The sequence below is a fragment of the Homo sapiens genome, chromosome 5 (genome assembly GCF_000001405.40).
Source record: "Homo sapiens chromosome 5, GRCh38.p14 Primary Assembly".
Classification (NCBI taxonomy): Eukaryota; Metazoa; Chordata; class Mammalia; order Primates; family Hominidae; genus Homo; species Homo sapiens.
In genome coordinates this window covers 60,405,450-60,423,250 of record NC_000005.10, presented here as the reverse complement: position 1 = coordinate 60,423,250, position 17,801 = coordinate 60,405,450, and the positions used below count along the sequence as shown (strand labels likewise).

At 40.4% G+C, this 17,801-nt stretch overlaps 1 protein-coding gene across 11 annotated transcripts in view, besides 2 other annotated features; it reads left to right on the top strand.

The window, feature by feature from the left end:
- PDE4D (phosphodiesterase 4D) overlaps positions 1–17,801 on the top strand; it is a 1,553,091-nt gene that overhangs the window by 98,878 nt on the left and 1,436,412 nt on the right. The gene's annotated exons all lie outside the window — the stretch shown is intronic.
- Positions 6,603–6,712: an enhancer, noted in NCBI's record as "active region_22585". NCBI's record gives its function as "activates an Ori minimal core promoter by ATAC-STARR-seq in GM12878 lymphoblastoid cells {active_cell/tissue: GM12878}" and the evidence as "EXISTENCE:reporter gene assay evidence [ECO:0000049][PMID:35858748]".
- Positions 7,712–8,370: an enhancer, noted in NCBI's record as "H3K4me1 hESC enhancer chr5:59710708-59711366 (GRCh37/hg19 assembly coordinates)". NCBI's record gives its function as "activates a minimal SCP1, AML or CMV promoter by ChIP-STARR-seq in naive H9 embryonic stem cells {active_cell/tissue: H9 hESC(naive)}" and the evidence as "EXISTENCE:reporter gene assay evidence [ECO:0000049][PMID:30033119]".

Below are 17,801 nucleotides of genomic sequence, written 5' to 3'. Positions count from 1 at the left end.
TGAGAAGAATGTATATTCTGTAGATTTGGGGTGGAGAGTTCTGTAGATGTCTATTAGGCCCGCTTGTTGCGGAGCTGAGTTCAAGTCCTGGATTTCCTTGTTAACCTTCTCTCTGGTTGATCGGTCTAATATTGACAATGGGGTGTTAAAGTGTCCCATTATTATTATGTGGGAATCTAAGTCTCTTTTTAGGTCTCTAAGGACTTGCTTTATGAATCTGGATGCTCCTGTATTGGGTACATATATATTTAGGTTAGTTAGATCTTCTTGTTGAATTATCTCTTTACCATTATGTAATGCCTTTCTTTGTCTCTTCTGATCTTTGTTGGCTTAAAGTCTGTTTTGTCAGAGACCAGGATTGCAACCCCTGCTTCTTTTTGCTTTCCATTTGCTTGGTAGATCTTCTTACATCCCTTTATTTTGAACCTATATGTTTCTCTGCATGTGAGATGGGTCTCCTGAATACAGCACACTGATGAGTCTTGACTCTTTATCCAATTTGCCAGTCTGTGTCTTTTAATTGGAGCATTTAGCCCATTTACATTTAAGGTTAATATTGTTATGTGTGAATTTGATCCTGTCATTATGATGTTAGCTGGTTATTTTGCCCATTAGTTGATGCAGTTTCTTCATGGTGTCGATGGTCTTTACAATTTGGCATGTTTTTGCAGTGGCTGGTACCAGTTGTTCCTTTCCATGTTTAGTGCTTCCCTCAGGAGCTCTTTTAGGGCAGGCCTTGTGGTGACAAAATCTCTCAGCATTTGCTTGTCTGTAAAGGATTTTATTTCTCCTTCACTTACAAAGCTTAGTTTGGCTGGATATGAAATTCTGGGTTGAAAATTTTTTTCTTTAAGAATGTCGAATATTGGCCCCCACTCTTTTCTGTCTTATAAGGTTTCTGCTGAGAGAGCTGCTGTTTGTCTGATGGGCTTCCCTTTGTGGACAACCCGACCTTTCTCTCTGGCTGCCCTTAACATTTTTTCCTTCATTTCAACCTTGGTGAATCTGAAAATTATGTGTCTTGGGGTTGCTCTTCTTGAGGAGTATCTTTGTGATGTTCTCTGTATTTCCTGAATTTGAATGTTGGCCTGCCTTGCTAGTTTGGGGAAGTTCTTGTGGATAATATCCTCCAGAGTGTTTTCCAACTTGGTTCCATTCTCCCCGTCACTTTCAGGTACATCAATCAGACGTAGATTTGGTCTTTTCACATAGTCCCATATTTCTTGGAGGCTTTGTTTGTTTCTTTTTACTCTTTTTTCTCTAAACTTGTCTTCTTGCTTTATTTCATTCATTTGATCTTCAGTCAGTGATATCCTTTCTTCGACTTGATCTAACAGGCTATTGAAGCTTGTGCATGCATCACGAAGTTCTCGTGCCGTGGTTTTCAGCTCCATCAGGTCATTTAAAGTCTTCTCTACACTGTTTATTCTAATTTGCCATTCGTCCAACATTTTTTAAAGATTTTCAGCTTCCTTCAATGGGTTAGAACATGCCCCTTTAGCTTGGAGAAGTTTGTTATTACCATCCTTCTGAAGCCTACTTCTGTCAACTTGTCAAAGTCATTCTCCGTCCAGCTTTGTTCCATAGCTCGTGAGGAGCTGTGATCCTTTGGAAGAGAAGAGGCACTCTGGTTTTTAGAATTTTTAAATTTTCTGCACTGGTTTCTCTCCATCTTTTTGGTTTTATCAACCTTTGGTCTTTCATGTTGGTGACCTACAGATGGGGTTTTGGTGTGGATGTCCTTTTTGTTGATGTTGATGCTATTCCTTTCTGTTTGTTAGTTTTCCTCCTAACAGTCAGGTCCCTCAGCTGCAGGTCTGTTGGATTTTGCTGGAGGTCCACTCCAGATCCTATTTGCCTGGGTATCACCAGTGGAGGCTGCAGAACAGCAAATATTGCTGCCTGATCCTTCCTCCATAAGCTTCGTGCTAGAGGGGCACCTGCCTGTGTGAGATGTCTGTCAGCCCCTACTGGGAGGTGTCTCCCAGTTAAGCTATGTGGGGGTCAGGGACCCACTTGAGGAGGCAGTCTGTCCGTTCTCAAAGCTCAAACGCCATGCTGGGAGAACCACTGCTCTCTTCAGAGCTGTCAGACAGGGATGTTTAAGTCTGCAGAAGCTTCTGCTGCCTTTTGTTCAGCTATGCCCTGCCCACAGAGGTGGAGTCTATAGAGGCAGTAGGCTTTGCTGAGCTGTGGTGGGCTCTGCCCAGTTCCAGCTTCCTGGCCACTTTGTTTACCTACTTAAGCCTCAGCAATGGTGAACACCCCTCCCCCCACCAGGCTGCTGCCTCGCAGGTCAATCTCAGATTGCTCTGCTAGCAATGAGCAAGTCTCCATGGGTGTGGGACCTGCTAAGCCAGGCACAGGAGAGAATCTCCTGGTCTGCTGGTTGCTAAGACAGTGGGAAAAGCGCAGTATTTGGGCGGGAGTGTCCTGTTTGTCATGGCTTCCCTTTGCTAGAAAAGGGAAATCCCCCAACCCCTTGCACTTCCCAGGTGAGGCGATGCCCCACCCTGCGCTGGCTCCCGCTCCATGGGCTGCACCCACTGTCCAATCAGTCCCAATGAGATGAACCAAGTACCTCAGTTGGAAATGCAGAAATCACCCATCTTCTGCATCGATGACGCTGGGAGGTGCAGACTGGAGTTGTTCCTATTTGGCCATCTTGGAATGGAGATCTTATTTCTTTATCTGGTGATTTTTTATTGCATACTGGACATTTTGGACAATGTGTTATCATGCCTCTGGATTGTGTTATTTTCTTCTGAAGAATTTTGCTTGTTATCTTAGCATGCTGTTCAATTGGCTGATCACGTTGAACATGTTTAAGCATGGTTTTAGGCTTTGTTAGTCCAAATCTTTGAGAAATCCCAGGTGCTTTCCCAACCTATTCAACCTGGCAGTATTCAGTGTTGATAGAGGATGTTTTTCTTGATGATAGGCTTTGTTTTAGACTTTACTGGAGTCATAGGACTTACTTTAGGACATAGTCTTTACTTGTAGAGAGGTACCAACTTTCTGTTTCTCAGGTAGATCCCAGGGGTGTCAAAGTAGTATTTATTTATGAGCTCTCTCAAACCCATAGGACCTGAACTGCAATGATGTCTAGTACTATTCTTCTTCCAGCATTACTTGACCTCCACTATTTCTGTTCTCTCAACCTGATAACATTTTCTCTCTGTTAAGCCTCCAGTATTCTCACTCTGCAAATGTATGGTGGTGATCTCAGTCACAGATTTGTCCCATGTCTGGGACAAATCTCTGCAAAACTTCTGAGACTTCTCTGTGTTAAAGTCTTTACTCTCTAAGACTCTGCTTTATAGATGCCAGCCATGCCAGCTGCCTCAGACTCCAGCTCTTTTTGTCATGTTTAGGAAAATATCCTTATTCACAGAGGTGGACATTCGTGGGCAGAGGGATTTCAGTTCTGGATTGGCTTGTTAGCCACTGTTTGAAAACGGTTGCCTCATATATTTTACTTAGTTTTGTAAGTATTTTCTGTGAGACAGATAATCTGTTACTAGTTACTCTATCATAGCTGGAAGCAGAAATATATAGGTATCAATTTGATTTGCAATTGTTTCTAGTTTACAATGCATTCTGCCTATCTTAAAAAATTTGTAATTCTAATCATTTTATTTTTGATCAGGGAATGTATTTATTGATTCACATGAATAAAATTCAAAGGCTATAGAAGAATATGTAGCAAAAAATCTCTCTTCTAATCTAGTAGCCTAATTCTTCTCCTCAGAGGTGATAGATATTACCAGTTCTTTTTGTTCCCTTTCAGACATATTTTAGATATATATGAAATCCTCTCCCTCTTCTTATTTTCCTCACATAAATGATAGCATGATGTGCATACTTTATATTTTTTTGTGTTTTGTCTTTTTTCTACTTAATGACATATCTTGGAGGCTATACATATTAATATATAAAGAATTTCTACATTCTTTTTTGGGCTACATGATACTCAGTTTTATGAAATACCATGAATTATCTCACCAGATTCCTATTTTTACTCATACTTTTTGGTTATTATAAACAATGCTTCATGAACTACTTTGGGTAAACCATTTGGTATATGCCAGTATATCTGTAGGATACATTCATAAAAGTGCAATTGCTACCTGAAAATGTATGCACATTTGTTACTTAGTTAAATGTTGCCAAATTTCCCTCCAGCAGCTGTGTTAGTGGCTGTAGCCTCGTTAAAAATGTATGGGAGGAATGCTGACTTTTTTGTTTTACCTGCAGTATCCATTTTCTCCATGGTACATCTACAAAATTGGCTTCTATTTTTTATTCTTATGTTTATCTTAATCTTTTAATAATCTTTCCCTGATTAACTTACAAGTTTCTTGTTATAACAAATAAGGGGGCTAAGGGGGAGGGGGATGGTTAATGAGGAAAAAATAGAAAGAATGAATAAGACCTACTATTTGATAGCACAACAGGGTGACTAGAGTTAGTAACTTATTTCTACAATTAAAAATAACCGAGAGTGTAACTGGATTGTTTGTAACACAAGTGATAAATGCTTGAGGGAATGGATACTCCATTCTCTATGATGTGATTATTTCACATTGCATGTCTCTGTGTAAACATCTCATGTACCCCATAAATATATTATACCTACTATGTACCCAGAACAATTAAAAATAAAAAAATTTAAAGTACAAAAAAAGACAAAAAGAGTCACACAGAAAATAAAGGAAAATAGTCTATAGAAGGATAAAAAACAAAACAAAAAAACAAATAAGATAAGCAGCAGCGATTTATATAAATTAGAGTTATTATTATTACTGTGGTTGCTGTGGTTGATTTTCCTAATATTCCAGGGCACGAATCAGCTGATAATATCCATTTTAAAAGTGCAATTTTATTTCCATTTTAGTCAGTCTGATTTTCAAATTATTCTCCCCTTTTTGTGCTTTAAAAATAGGGATATAACATATGCTAGCCTGTTCCCAATTTGAACTCGTGTCTTTCAAATGCACAGTCTAACTTTATTAATTCTGTATGGAATCATGTCCTGTGAGCTTTCTAGCTTTTCTTTCTTTCTTGTTTTTTTTCCCTTTACCTCACTTGCTCTTCTGAATTTGAGGAGCTAAAGATATTTGTGACAAGACTTAGCTACTCAATGAACATTCCGAATCAATGTTTTCCTGTGGAAACAGTGACTCTGATGGAATCTTCTCCACTTCCTGGAACATTAAATTGTCACTAGGTAATTCAGGAGTCTCTTTTTCAGGTTCTTGTCTGCAGTATACTGAAAAGTGAATTGTGAACTCATTGTTATGAAATTTGGAAGTGTTTATCTTTAATGTTAGCTTAGAGTGTTTTTTTTTTCCCTCTCTCTTGCATTCCCTTTAAACCCTGACCATTTAAACATTATAGACAAGGACATTTCTCATGTGTTTGTCTTTCTCTAAATCTGTTAGTACTTTAAACTGTGTGGTCCCAACACGATGTTGTACTATACTTGTGGAATCAACACTCAAAAGAGCCCATTCAGAAGAGTTTTTTTTCTTCTTCTTGGTAACTGCTTTCTAAAAAAAATTCTTCTTTATATTCTAAAGCTCTAAGCCCCCAAGCCCCATCCTCCCATGTTGAGATTCCTGTTGCCACCTGCCTTTGACTCTTCTATGTCCTCCTGTCAAATACCCTTCCTGGCCTATTGTTCCAACTTATTATAAAACACTGTAACTGAATGGCTTGAAAAGATGTTGCGAATGTAGTTGATTTTTCCTCTGAGAAACAAGTGTGTTAGCTTCTTTGGAGAATGTATTAACTGGTACTACTGGCACTACTAAGCTCTAGGCTTAGAACTGTGTGAGGGAAACAAAAAACAGAACAAAGATATGCAGAAGTCTGGTTTTTGCCCTCCAGGAGTGCAATGGTTGTGAGTGTAGGATCTGAACTCAAGCAGACAGATGTAGGCTGGATGATCTTGGGTGAGGTACACTAAATCTCAGTTCTCTCATCCGTGATACAATTGTACTCATCTCACAGATTAAACAAGATAAATCTGTGGGGAGAATCCGCCCCAGAATTGAGAGAGGCTGTTCTCTGGGCACACTTGCTTTATGTGGTCTTTTCAATTGCTGTCAATCAGTTTTTAAAATCTGGTTGCCCAAACACCATTGTGGCTATTACCATGACTACTTCATGTTCTGGCTGTTCTGGCAGTACAAATGAGTCTGGACATCTACTTCAGGTAAATTGGATGTTTGATTAATTAATAACCATGTAGGCCATTTGTAGATGGAATCGCACAGTGTGATTAGTCATGGTAGCATGAAGACTTTAACAGGCCAATCCCTACATCTCAATGGCTTTATATATTACATATTTATTTCTTGTTCGTATCACATTACAATGTGGATTGGGGGTAAAGTGGGACACAGCATGTTCCACAAAGTTATTCAGATTCCCAAGCTGTTTTTACCTAGTTCATTATCCTCTAAAGCCCCAGAGTCTTGGATATTAATTTCTCTGAAGGAAGAGTGTATGATAGTGTGTCCAGAATTGGTGGGCTCTTGGTCTCACTGACTTCAAGAATGAAGCCGCGGACGCTCATGGTGAGTGTTACAGTTCTTAAAGGCAGTGTGTCCAGAGTTTGTTCCTTCTGATGTTCGGATGTGTTCGGAGTTTCCTCCTTCTGGTGGGTTCGTGGTCTTGCTGGCTCAGGAGTGAAGCTGCAGACCTTCGCGGTGAGTGTTACAGCTCTTAAGTCAGGGTGTCTGGAGTTGTTCGTTCCTCCCAGTGGGTTTGTGGTCTCGCTGGCTTCCGGAGTGAAGCTGCAGACCTTTGCAGTGAGTGTTACAGCTCATAAAGACAGTGTGGACCCAAAGAGTGAGCAGCAGCAAGATTTATTGCAAAGAGTGAAAAAACAAAGCTTCTACAGTGTGGAAGGGGACCCCAGCAGGTTGCCACTGGTGGCTCAGGCAGCCTGCTTTTATTCTCTTATCTGGCCCCACCCACATCCTGCTGATTGGTCCATTTTACAGAGAGCTGATTGGTCTGTTTTACAGAGAGCTGATTGGTCTGTTTTGACAGTGTGCTGATTGGTGCATTTACAATCCTTGAGCTAGACACAAAAGTTCTCCATGTCCACACTAGATTAGCTAGATACAGAGTGTCGATTGGTGTATTTACAAACCCTGAGCTAGACACAGAGTGCTGATTGGTGCATTTACAAACCTTGGGCTAGATACAGAGTGCTGATTGGTGCATTCACAAACCCTGAGATAGACACAGGGTGCTGATTGGTGTGTTTACAAACCTTGAGCTACATACAGAGTGCTGATTGGTGCATTTACAATCCCTTAGCTAGACATAAAGATTCTCCAAGTCCCCACCAGACTCAGGAGCCCAGATGGCTTCACCCAGTGGGTCCCGCACCGGGCGGCAGGTGGAGATTCCTGCCAGTCCCGCGCCCTACGCCTGCACTCCTCAGCCCTTTGGCAGTGGATGGGACTGGGCGCCCTGGAGCAGGGGGCAGCGCTTGTCAGGGAGGCTCGGGCTGCACAGGAGCCCATGGTGGGGGTGTGGGGAGACTCAGGCGTGGCCGCACTGCAGGTCCCGAGCCCTGCCCCGTGGGGAGGCAACTAAGGCCTGGTGAGAAATTGAGTGCAGCAGCTGCTGGCCCAGGTGCTAAGCCCCTCACTGCCCGGGGTGGCGGGGCCGGCCTGCCGCTCCCAGTGCGGGCCCACCAAGCCCACGCCCACCGGAACTCGCACTGGCCTTCAAGTGCCTGCCGCGCAGCCCCGGTTCCCGCCTGCACCTCTCCCTCCACACCTCCCCGCAAGCTGAGGGCGCCGGCTCCGGCCTTGGCCAGCCGAGAAAGGGGCTCCCACAGTGCAGGGGAGGGCTGAAGGGCTCCTCAAGCACGGCCAGAGTGGGCGCCAAGGCCAAGGAGGCGCTGAGAGCCAGCAAGGGCTGTGAGGGCTGTCAGCATGCTGTCACCTCTTAATAGGTGGTTTGGAGGTTTTAGGAACCAGGTCTGGATGGGGTACATATGACTTACATTCACATTCTATTGGCTAGAACTTGTCTCATAGCCTGATCAGATGCAGAGGGTCTAGGAAATAGGTGCTGAAAGAAGGGAACCCATGCACATTAATGAGTACCATTGATTGCTCCCTTTCAGTGGCACTTTAAAGGTTTGGACTTCCAGTTGTCTCACCCAGGTTGAGTGCAACCACTTAGGCATTCCTACCATGTGACAAGGTACTGGCATCTAGCTTGATGTGGGTCTGCCCAATGGCAAATGATTACCCTAAGACTCAAATTTCATTTCCCTTCTTCCTGTGTCTTAACCAAGGAGAGATTTTAAAACGTATACCAGAGACGAAGAGGCACTTTGAATTTGTCCGGGTAGGTGCTTCTTGGTTTGGGGATGTTATGACCTTAGATAGGTAAGTGAAGGCTGTCATGTGGAATGACTCCCAGATTTAATGTAATTCCATTACAAGTAGGTTTACATAAGAGGCACAACTTTGTTTCTTGGTTATTCCTTATTACCATATTTATAACACTTAAAAGAAAGAGTTCAGAAAATAGCTAGGATTGGTTTACTCCAGATACCTGGAGTGTTAACCAGCAAACTGCTTTGTAGCCTTGTGTGTACCAACAGAAGTAGGTTGCATATTCTGTCTTTTCTTTCTCCTTGAAAGCAATACTTTGCTGATCTTTAACTTATATATGTCCCTTGGAATGATGCCAGGGAGAATTTTTATAATAGGTCCAAATTATAGTTGCCTGTCTTTGTGTGTGTATGTATATTTAACTTTTTAATTTGATTTTATTTTTAAGTAGCTTTATCTCTGGATGGGCAATGCATATCTTAATAGTGTGATCAAAAACAGTTAAGATAAAAAATCTTAATAGAGTTTTATGACCCATAAAAATACTCAATAATATCAATTTTTGTTTTTATGACTATTATTTGCATTCTCTAGGGAGGCAGATTAACACATAAAAACTACCTAAAGAATATAAAAACAATGTATGGATAATATGGCAGAAATGGTATATAATTGGTATAAAGTACAAAACCAAGGACTGCTAGTGCACAGAAGCTTTGGTTTGTTTATTTGAGGAGATTCGTCTTAGCATCGGCCCTACTGTGTATGACAGACAAGGACTGTTATCACAGCATGTACTAAGGAATACATGACCCCTTCTGCTTACCTTCGAAAGGGGAGAAATTGTATCTGTCGAGAAACTTGGTGGAACAAACAGAAGTGCATGCAATTAATTGTAAGACATAGGGCATCGGTTCTGTTTTCTATTTTAGAACTGTAAAAAGTTTGACAAAGTGAACCTGAACTCTGATAAAGCAGCAAGAAAAATCTGGAAGTGTTCTTTGGGTTAGGAGATGCTTATAACTGGTTGGATGGAAATAGTAGTTACATTAAGATTATTTGTTACTTTGGGATCTGATGCAGGGCTGAAACAACCCAATGTAAGTCAATGATACTTTCACCAGATTGAAGTTTCTAAGCTGTTTTTCCAAAAAAAAAAAAAATAAACGAAAAAAGAAATTCAAAATTAAAACAAACCACTCCCAAATTCTCTTACATCCATGGCATTCTGAATTTATAAGGATAGGCTTTGGCCCTTTTAGAATCTGGTTTTATGAAGGTGGAAGGAATGACAAGGCTTAGTGCAAAATATTAAAAGTACCTTATGCCCTTTTACCAAGTGTGCACCACTGCGTTCCTGAGTCTGTGTAGTCTTCCCATCTATTTCTCCTTTCGTTTCTTCCTCCTTCTCCTTCCTCCTTCCTCCTCTCATCTTCAGAAAATGAAAGGCTCTGGAAGTCTATTGTGTGTGAGTACCTTTGGGACCAATGTAAAACATAGAGCAATATGCATGCAAGGGATGCTTCTCCTTCAGATTGGAAAAAAAGTGGATTTAAATGAAAACAGACCTGACAATATACCTTTTTCTGCCTATAGGTTTGATGAGGTAATGTTATAAAGTATATTGCTCTCTAAAAATCCTGAGGGTTTTTGAGTGAATGATGTAATGAAAGTAAGCTACAGTAGTCAGTAGGAATATAATCTAGGAAGTATGTCCTGGGATAAATAAAACTGTTGATAGCATGAACGTTATGTGCTTGTGAGCTCAGCTAGTGAGGGGATGAAGGAGCTTGCATTTATTAAATAGCTTAGTTAAATGAATTATACATATATTCCATGACTTCAACTATATAATGTTGTAGTTAAAGTCATCATTTTAGAATCAGACTGAAGTGGATCTAAATCCTGGTATTATGACTTAATATTCACCTAGTCATTAGCAAATGACTCCACCTCTAGCCTAGCCTTAGTTTCCTTATCTATAAAAAGTATTTGATTAAAACCTACCTTAAGGATTTGTTGTAAGGGTTATAGGAAATAATGCTATAGGCTTTGGCAAATAAAAAACAATCAGCTGGCTGTTATTACCTTACAGTGGTTACATATTTTTAAATAACCAAAATAATTGACATAAAATTAACAGAAAAACTTAACAAAATGATTTAGTAAATAACTTAAGATCTTGGAGTGCCTCATAGTCATCATTGGAAACATAAGGAGTATTGTACTTTTCTAGAACCAATAACATAATTCTGGGTGATGGAATCCTTTTGCTATAAGTATCTATGTGAATACACAAAACATGCAGGGTTTGAACTAAGCATCGAAGAACGAGGATGATTTGAGAAAAAGTTCTGTCTCCTTGGGAATAATACAAATCAGTGATCCAGACATGCAGAAAAAAGACAAAAACAAGGTGGAATGTGGTAGAATACTACACTAAATTATTTGAGACTGCCCAAATACCTCCAGATGGAGTAAGGCTCTCTAAAAAGATATTGACTGGTTTTTCTATCTCTTCTGGATTGCTCTTTCAAGTGAATGTGTAAATATGTCTATAAAAACGATGCAGTGTTGGGTAACGGCAACAAAATTATTGGTCTCAGTCTCCCTTGGCTGTTTTTTCCCCTAATTTCTTTGTGTTTTAGTTGATCTACTTGCAAGATGGAATAGTGGAGATAACATTTTCCTAGTGTTCTTTTGAAGACACGTATAATTGTAGTCCTATTGTCCTGAGACTGAATGTACAGATGAACCCAGCCATGAATGGAGAAAACCTCAAGAAAAGTGAAAGAAACAAAAACAAGCCAACAGCTCCTTCACTGGGATAAAAACCCTCAGCTAAAAAGAGATAGTTACTCTAAGAATTGTACTGTTTTATTAAGTTAGTGACTTAAAATATTAATCTTTTTGAATATAATTTGGCATGGGGAATCTTTGGGAAGATAAAGATTGTGGTCAATATAACACCTATCTAGCCACCTTTTTTGCGGGTGGTTGGGTCAGTAGCAGTGGAACAAACTAGTATGTAAATTGAGATTTCTAGGAAAGGTGGAAAATATCTGGGGAACACCATTGGATCATAGCTTAGTTATTGCAGCAATAAGAAAAATATATTTCTAACTTTAGGGTTAATTTCACTCACGTTTTCCTTCATTTAGATCTGGTTTTTAATCCCTGATTTAGAGCCGATCTTTTAAATTGTCATTTTACTTTTTTAGAGCTAAATGGTTTGAATTGGACTTAAATATTCGGAAATAATGTTAAAATGTGAAATTCGTTGCTTTTAGTATAAAATAAATGTATGCATTGAAAAATTCTTTTTACATGGTGATTACTTTCATATATTGTGATGCCTTGGTTTTATATAATAATTGCAATGATGATGATGATGATAATGAGATTAGCTAACACTTATGTGATACTTCCCTTTGTGACATGTCTGAATTTCTTCTGGTTATGTCATACAGTGGTGGTAATAATACACGTGAAAGGCCAGGATAGTTCTAGCCCTTACATAAGTTTGCTTTATACTTAAGCTAGTCTTTTAGTCCGTTTTTCCTTTAAACATCATAACCTATTTTGGTTATAGCTACCAGTTGTAACTATTTTCACATAGATTTTTACAGTTAATGGAAAATGAACCCTTCTGGAAGTTATCCTTTTTATCAGCAATGAAAATTATACCAGTGCATGCTTTATTACAACCTAGAATGAGTGTGACTTGAAAAAATTAGAACTTACCAAGTTGCTTGACTCCCTCTTTGTCCAGTGCAGCAGTTAATATCTCATCTCCCATTCTCTAGGGCCAGTCAGCCTATGTTCAAATGTCAGTTCTTCCATGTATTAGCTGCAAAACTGACCTGGGGAAAAGTATGCAGCTTTTTTAGTTCACTATTCTCATACGTAAAATGGGGTAATGGTACCTACTTCATATGATTATTGAGAAGTTTAAATGAATTCCTGTTAGAAGCAGTAAGAACAGTGTCTCTCCCATGGCAAGTGCCTTATGTTTTTAAAATAAATATAAATGTCTGAGGCTCATTGCCATCATATTATCACAGAGCCTGTATCAAGGACATGGAGGCAATACCTGCAGTGGCCAAGCATGAAAATCTTTGACAGTTCTGTTACTTGACAGCTGTAAGAGCTTTGGAAAGTTGCTTAACCTTAGACTAGCTCTCCTCATTGTAAAATGGAAGTCAGTCATAGTGTCTGCTTTGTGTGGTTGCTGAGGATTAAATGAGATGATATTTGTCAAGACTTGTGGTGAGTCACAAAGTTCACTGACATCTCATCCAGATGGGCGGAGAAGAGGTAGCTTCTTAGTTTTGATTTTAACTAATGTGATCTTCCTCCTGAGCAAACCACTGCTGATTAGAAGGAAAAATAAATTAAATGTCTAAGCTGTCTTAGTCTGATGTATTGATTTTAGATAATGCTCTGTCTCTAGGAAAAGGTGCTCAGACTTTCAGATCTCTGTGTTCCAGGATTTTCCAGGTTTCTCTCCAAGATGATGTCTGGTATGTAGGGGAGGGGAGGGGCTTAGGCAGCCTCTTGGTGGGAGAGAAAAGTCTGGACCCATAGGCATAGTCATGGTGTCCACTGATCGCACTTCAGGAACAGAGACCAATGCCTCTGGATGGACTCTCCACACCCAGCCTTTGCTAGGGTGCCATCACATTATTTGCCAGGCTTGTGTTCTAGCTCTCAGCTAGTCACTTTCTAATTTCCCCCTTAAACACCTGGACTCCCAGCCCTACCTCAAAGGTTGCCATAGGGAACAAAGAGCTGCTCAGAAAAGCTAAACATCGAGGCCTCCCTCTGCCTAACTCCCTCCAAATGTCCTTGGTATGGGGCAGCCTGAGAGGGCATATCTTTCTAGAGCCCTGAACAGGAATGGGGCAGAAATCCTTCATCCCTCGGGCTCTCCTCTATCCACACAAGAGTCTTTAAGGCACACACATCTGACTGCTTTGTTCTTCCCTGCTTTTCCTTCTCACACTCCTGGGATGAGAAAGAGAGATGACAGTTTCCTCTACACTCTTCTAGGCCAAATCTTCATTTCACCATGGAAGAACTCTTTGAGCCAAATCATTTGGATATGTGAAAAGCAATACAGACATTTAAACATTCTTCCTCAAGACAATATGTCAGTAAGACTTGGCAAATGGCCTGTTTTGAATGCCAGATGCTGAATATTAACTCCTTCTTCCTTTATCTGTCTTAAGAATGTTTTATAAATTTGAAAAGCAAGGAAGAGCACAGTGATGTTTTCCAAAATATTAATCCAAAGTAAGCGCATAATCAATACAAGCTTTATAATGATGATGATGATGATGATGATAAAGTAACCATTAGCACAGGATAATTGCTATATAGATTGTTTTTACCCTTGGATAGCTTCTGGTTTTAGGGAAGAGACCATAACTTCAGAGCACTTGTGCACTTGGCATCATGACACGTAATTGCTCCGCCTCTCACAATTCTCACCCCCTCTGCCCCCTCCCCATCTCTCTGGCCACACAAGACTTTCTGCTCCTGGAACATGAAATGATTTTTCCTGCTTTGGGGTATGTAATAATTACTACTCTGTCACCTGAAGCCCTGTTTCCCATATCTTTTCTTAACTGACTTCTCATTTTCAGTCCCTGCCTTAAAAGCTGCCACCTCGATTTTCCTGGATCTTTTCTGGCCACCCTAACCGAAGTAGCCATCCCCACTTCCAGTTACTCTCCATACCACATCCTCCTTTTTCTTTTCTTTTCTGCATAAGTCACTATTTTATGTTTACACATTTTTTTGTCTTTCTACTCCACTAGAATGTAAGCCTCAAGAGGACAGGGGCTGTGTCCGCTTTATTCCCCACTGGGCTGGCAGAGGACCTGGCACAAAAAAGAGCTCAATACATAGTTATTGAATACATGATAAGTGACTGAATGCTATCTTATTTCAGATAAAAAGAATCATTATGATTATTAACATTGGTGACATGGATGTGCATGGAGCAAAAGTACCTTGCATAAGCACAGAAATAAGGATTTTCTATATTATATTTATTATGAACCATAGTAATGGCGAGAATATCTCTCTCCCTTTATTATTTTGTTCTATAGTGATGGTGGTGGTAGAGTGGGCTAGCACTGCCTCTTAAAAATGATAAGAAGTCCTTTGAAGGAAGACATCATGCTCGTATTTCTTTCACACTTTTTTTGATATTTAGCTGCTCAATACAAACATGTTGGTGATCATTGGTGGAGGGAGTGGGGAGTGGGTGAGGGAAAATTACAGGCCCTCCATTTGCATATGATTAAACTGGCAAGACTTTCCAGGCAAAGCAGTGCTTCAGAAATTATGTGATTGACAGAAGGAAGGTCACATATGTACTTTCTAGAAGAAGAGTAATTGTCAAGTTGTGTGCTGAGGAGCCTCAGAGCCTCAGTTGGCAATGGCTTATGTGGAAATTTTCATTTGAACAGAGAGTTTTAGGGCCACACCCAAGTGGAAACTACTTATTTCAGGATTGGAGCCTCCACAGAGAAAGATCAGAGGTGGGAATGAAACAAGAAATAGTTCCAGAGACTGCTGCTGTGTAACAAATTATCTTAGAACTTAGCAGCTGAGAACAACCATTTTTTTTATGCTCACGCAGGAAGCTACAGGTCAAGAAGTCAGTGAAGGCACAGCGGGAATAGGTTGTCTCTGCTCCAGCTGTGCAGACTTGAAGGGCAGGGGAGACCGGATGCCAGGATGGGGTCACATAAAGACACCTTCCCTCACATGTCTGGTGATCAGGATGGCTCCGTGTGGCTTAGTGTCCTTACAGCCTGGTGGTTGCATGTTGTCAGACACTGGGTGTGGAGCTCAGGACTCCAAGCATACGAGTTCCAGTAAAGAAGACGGAAGCTACACTGCTTTTCATGTCCAACCTTGGAAATCACACGGCCTCACTTCCACTGTCTTCTCTTGGTTGCAATAGTCACAAAACCCACCGAGTTCAAGGGAGATGACATAGACCGCCCTTCTAAATGGGAGGAGGGTCTAAGAATTTTGCAGCCATGTTTTAAACTAATATTAGGTTGGTGCAAAAGTAATTGCGGTTTTTGCCATTAAAAGTAATATAAGGGGCCAAGCGTGGTGGCTCACGCCTGTAATCTCAGCACTTTGGGAGGCTGAGGTGGATGGATCACCTGAGGTCAGGAGTTTATGACCAGCCTGGCCAATGTGGTGAAACCCCATCTCTACTAAAAATACAAAAATTAGCTGGGTGTGGTGCCGTGCGCCTGCAGTCCCAGCTACTCAGAGGCCGAGGCAGGAGAATCGCTTGAACCTGGGAGGCGAAGGTTGCAGTGAGCCGAGATCGTGCCACTGCACTCCAGCCTGGGTGACAGAGTGAGACTCCGTCTCAAAAAAAAAAAAAAAAAAAAAAAAAAAGGAAAAAGAAAAAATGTAATACAAATGTAAGGATGAAAGAAGCAAGCAGAGGGGAAGAGAGGGGTCTTGTATTCTGGAAAGGGAGATAGGCTTGTGACTGCGCGGATCCAGGTTACATTTACTGCACATGTGCCCTGCTTTTTTTGCAGCTAGAGTGTTTTGATGATCTTCTGAGAGAAACGTCTCCTTCCTCAGCTCCAGTGTGCTCGGGAGCTAAGAGCTGCAGAAAATCATTTGAAATCTTTGGTGGTCATAATAAAATAGGTAAAGGTACTCTCAGGTACTCAACGACCCTCTTGTCACCAAGCAGCTCCTCATCAGAACTTCTCCAAACATACACTCTCTCCTTTCCACCTCCAGCTCATCTTGCTTGGCCTCCGCTTTTTCCGTCACATCTCATCTCCTGGCCTTTTTCATTCCTCATCCCTACCTTATTTCCAATTTCAGTCACATTTCGGTGAACACACTGCTCTTGGTGCTTACAGCAAGGAAGGCTAGTTGTGTTGAATTTATAGTACTTTTTCAACCAGCCATTGGGAAGCACATGGAACTCCCCACACTCATTTTTACTGCCATTTTTTTTTCAACATAATTTACAAGAAATAGAAGGAATGTGTATTAGCTAATTGTGCCACGTGGTCCTATTTTCTCAGCAATACTTATTTTTATTAATGCAGCTGATAGAAAATGAGGCAAATTTTCATCAAAAAGCTTGCTAATGTAAAACTGAGAGTACCAGGCAGCCTGGAATAAAATAAAGAAACACAATTGTAATATTACTATTTTGGGAGTTTTACATTAAACTCCTACACAATAATCAAAGGTGGAAGTGTGATCATAAATTTTAGCTGGAATTTAGGAATGTGGCAGCAACTCTGGGGCACATTTACAGGAAAATCATAGACTCAAATGGAATTTGCTGAGGACTATATATCAATTTGCCATCAGAGTAGACAGTATTAGAAACCCTGGACTCTTCCCATTAATCATTGTAGATGTGGCATCTCAAACAGAAGAGAGTTATGGCGGTTATAAATCGTGCACTGAGAGTTGTTTTTTACTTTAGATAGAGAAAACAGTTGAAAGAGTTTGGGATAGCAGATGTATTGTCTCTGGTTCCTCCTTTTAGTTTTAAAAATTAATTGTGCATTTCAGAATCCTGTACTTTAAATATTTAGACATGGCAAGTTTTAAAAAGAAGATATGTAGGGCACATACTTCTCATCCACTGCTGACAGGCATCAGGAATGGGGTAAATTTGGATAGGAGATGCTTATCCATTCTATGTCACTGCAGATATGAAATTTTGTCTTATTGTTGTTTTGATTTAGCAGGAAATATCTTTATTATTTTTTTTCCAATGATGAGAATGGAAATGTTGTAATTAGTTAAGTCTGAAACTATGATTTAGGAAAGAAAAAAAAAAGTGCAAGATGATCTATTGCACAGAGAGCCACCCAGAGCCCATCTGTTGGATAGAATAAGGAACCCCTGTGGGTGTAATTGGGGCAGGAAGAAGGGGCAGGATATGGTGGAAAGTGCTTGGGTTTTGAAGCCCAACTTGTTTTTGAGTCCACGTTCTATGTTTTTCCTTTGTGTTCTTGAGCAAGATACTTAACTTCAATAATCTATGATCTATACATTGGGAATAATAATCACTATCTAGAAATGGTGTTTTAGAGATTAACATATTATAATAACCTTGGTAAAGTATCTGGCTTATACTCAGTAGAAGTATCTGCTTTATACCCAGCAAATATTCCTTTTCAAATAGATGTAGGCCACTATGTTATAATTAATAAGCAATACCATAAGCATTTGAATGTTTCTGCACAATGACCTATTTGCTGTCTTTTGTTAAATTTTCTTAGTTGGGGGAGTGAAACTCCTGACTAGCTTTGGGCTGGATATAGCATAGCGGTGCCCACCTATGTGGAATGGTTTGAAGAGTCCTCGACAGGGCCAGTGACCTCATTGTCCTTCATAGAGCCAAAA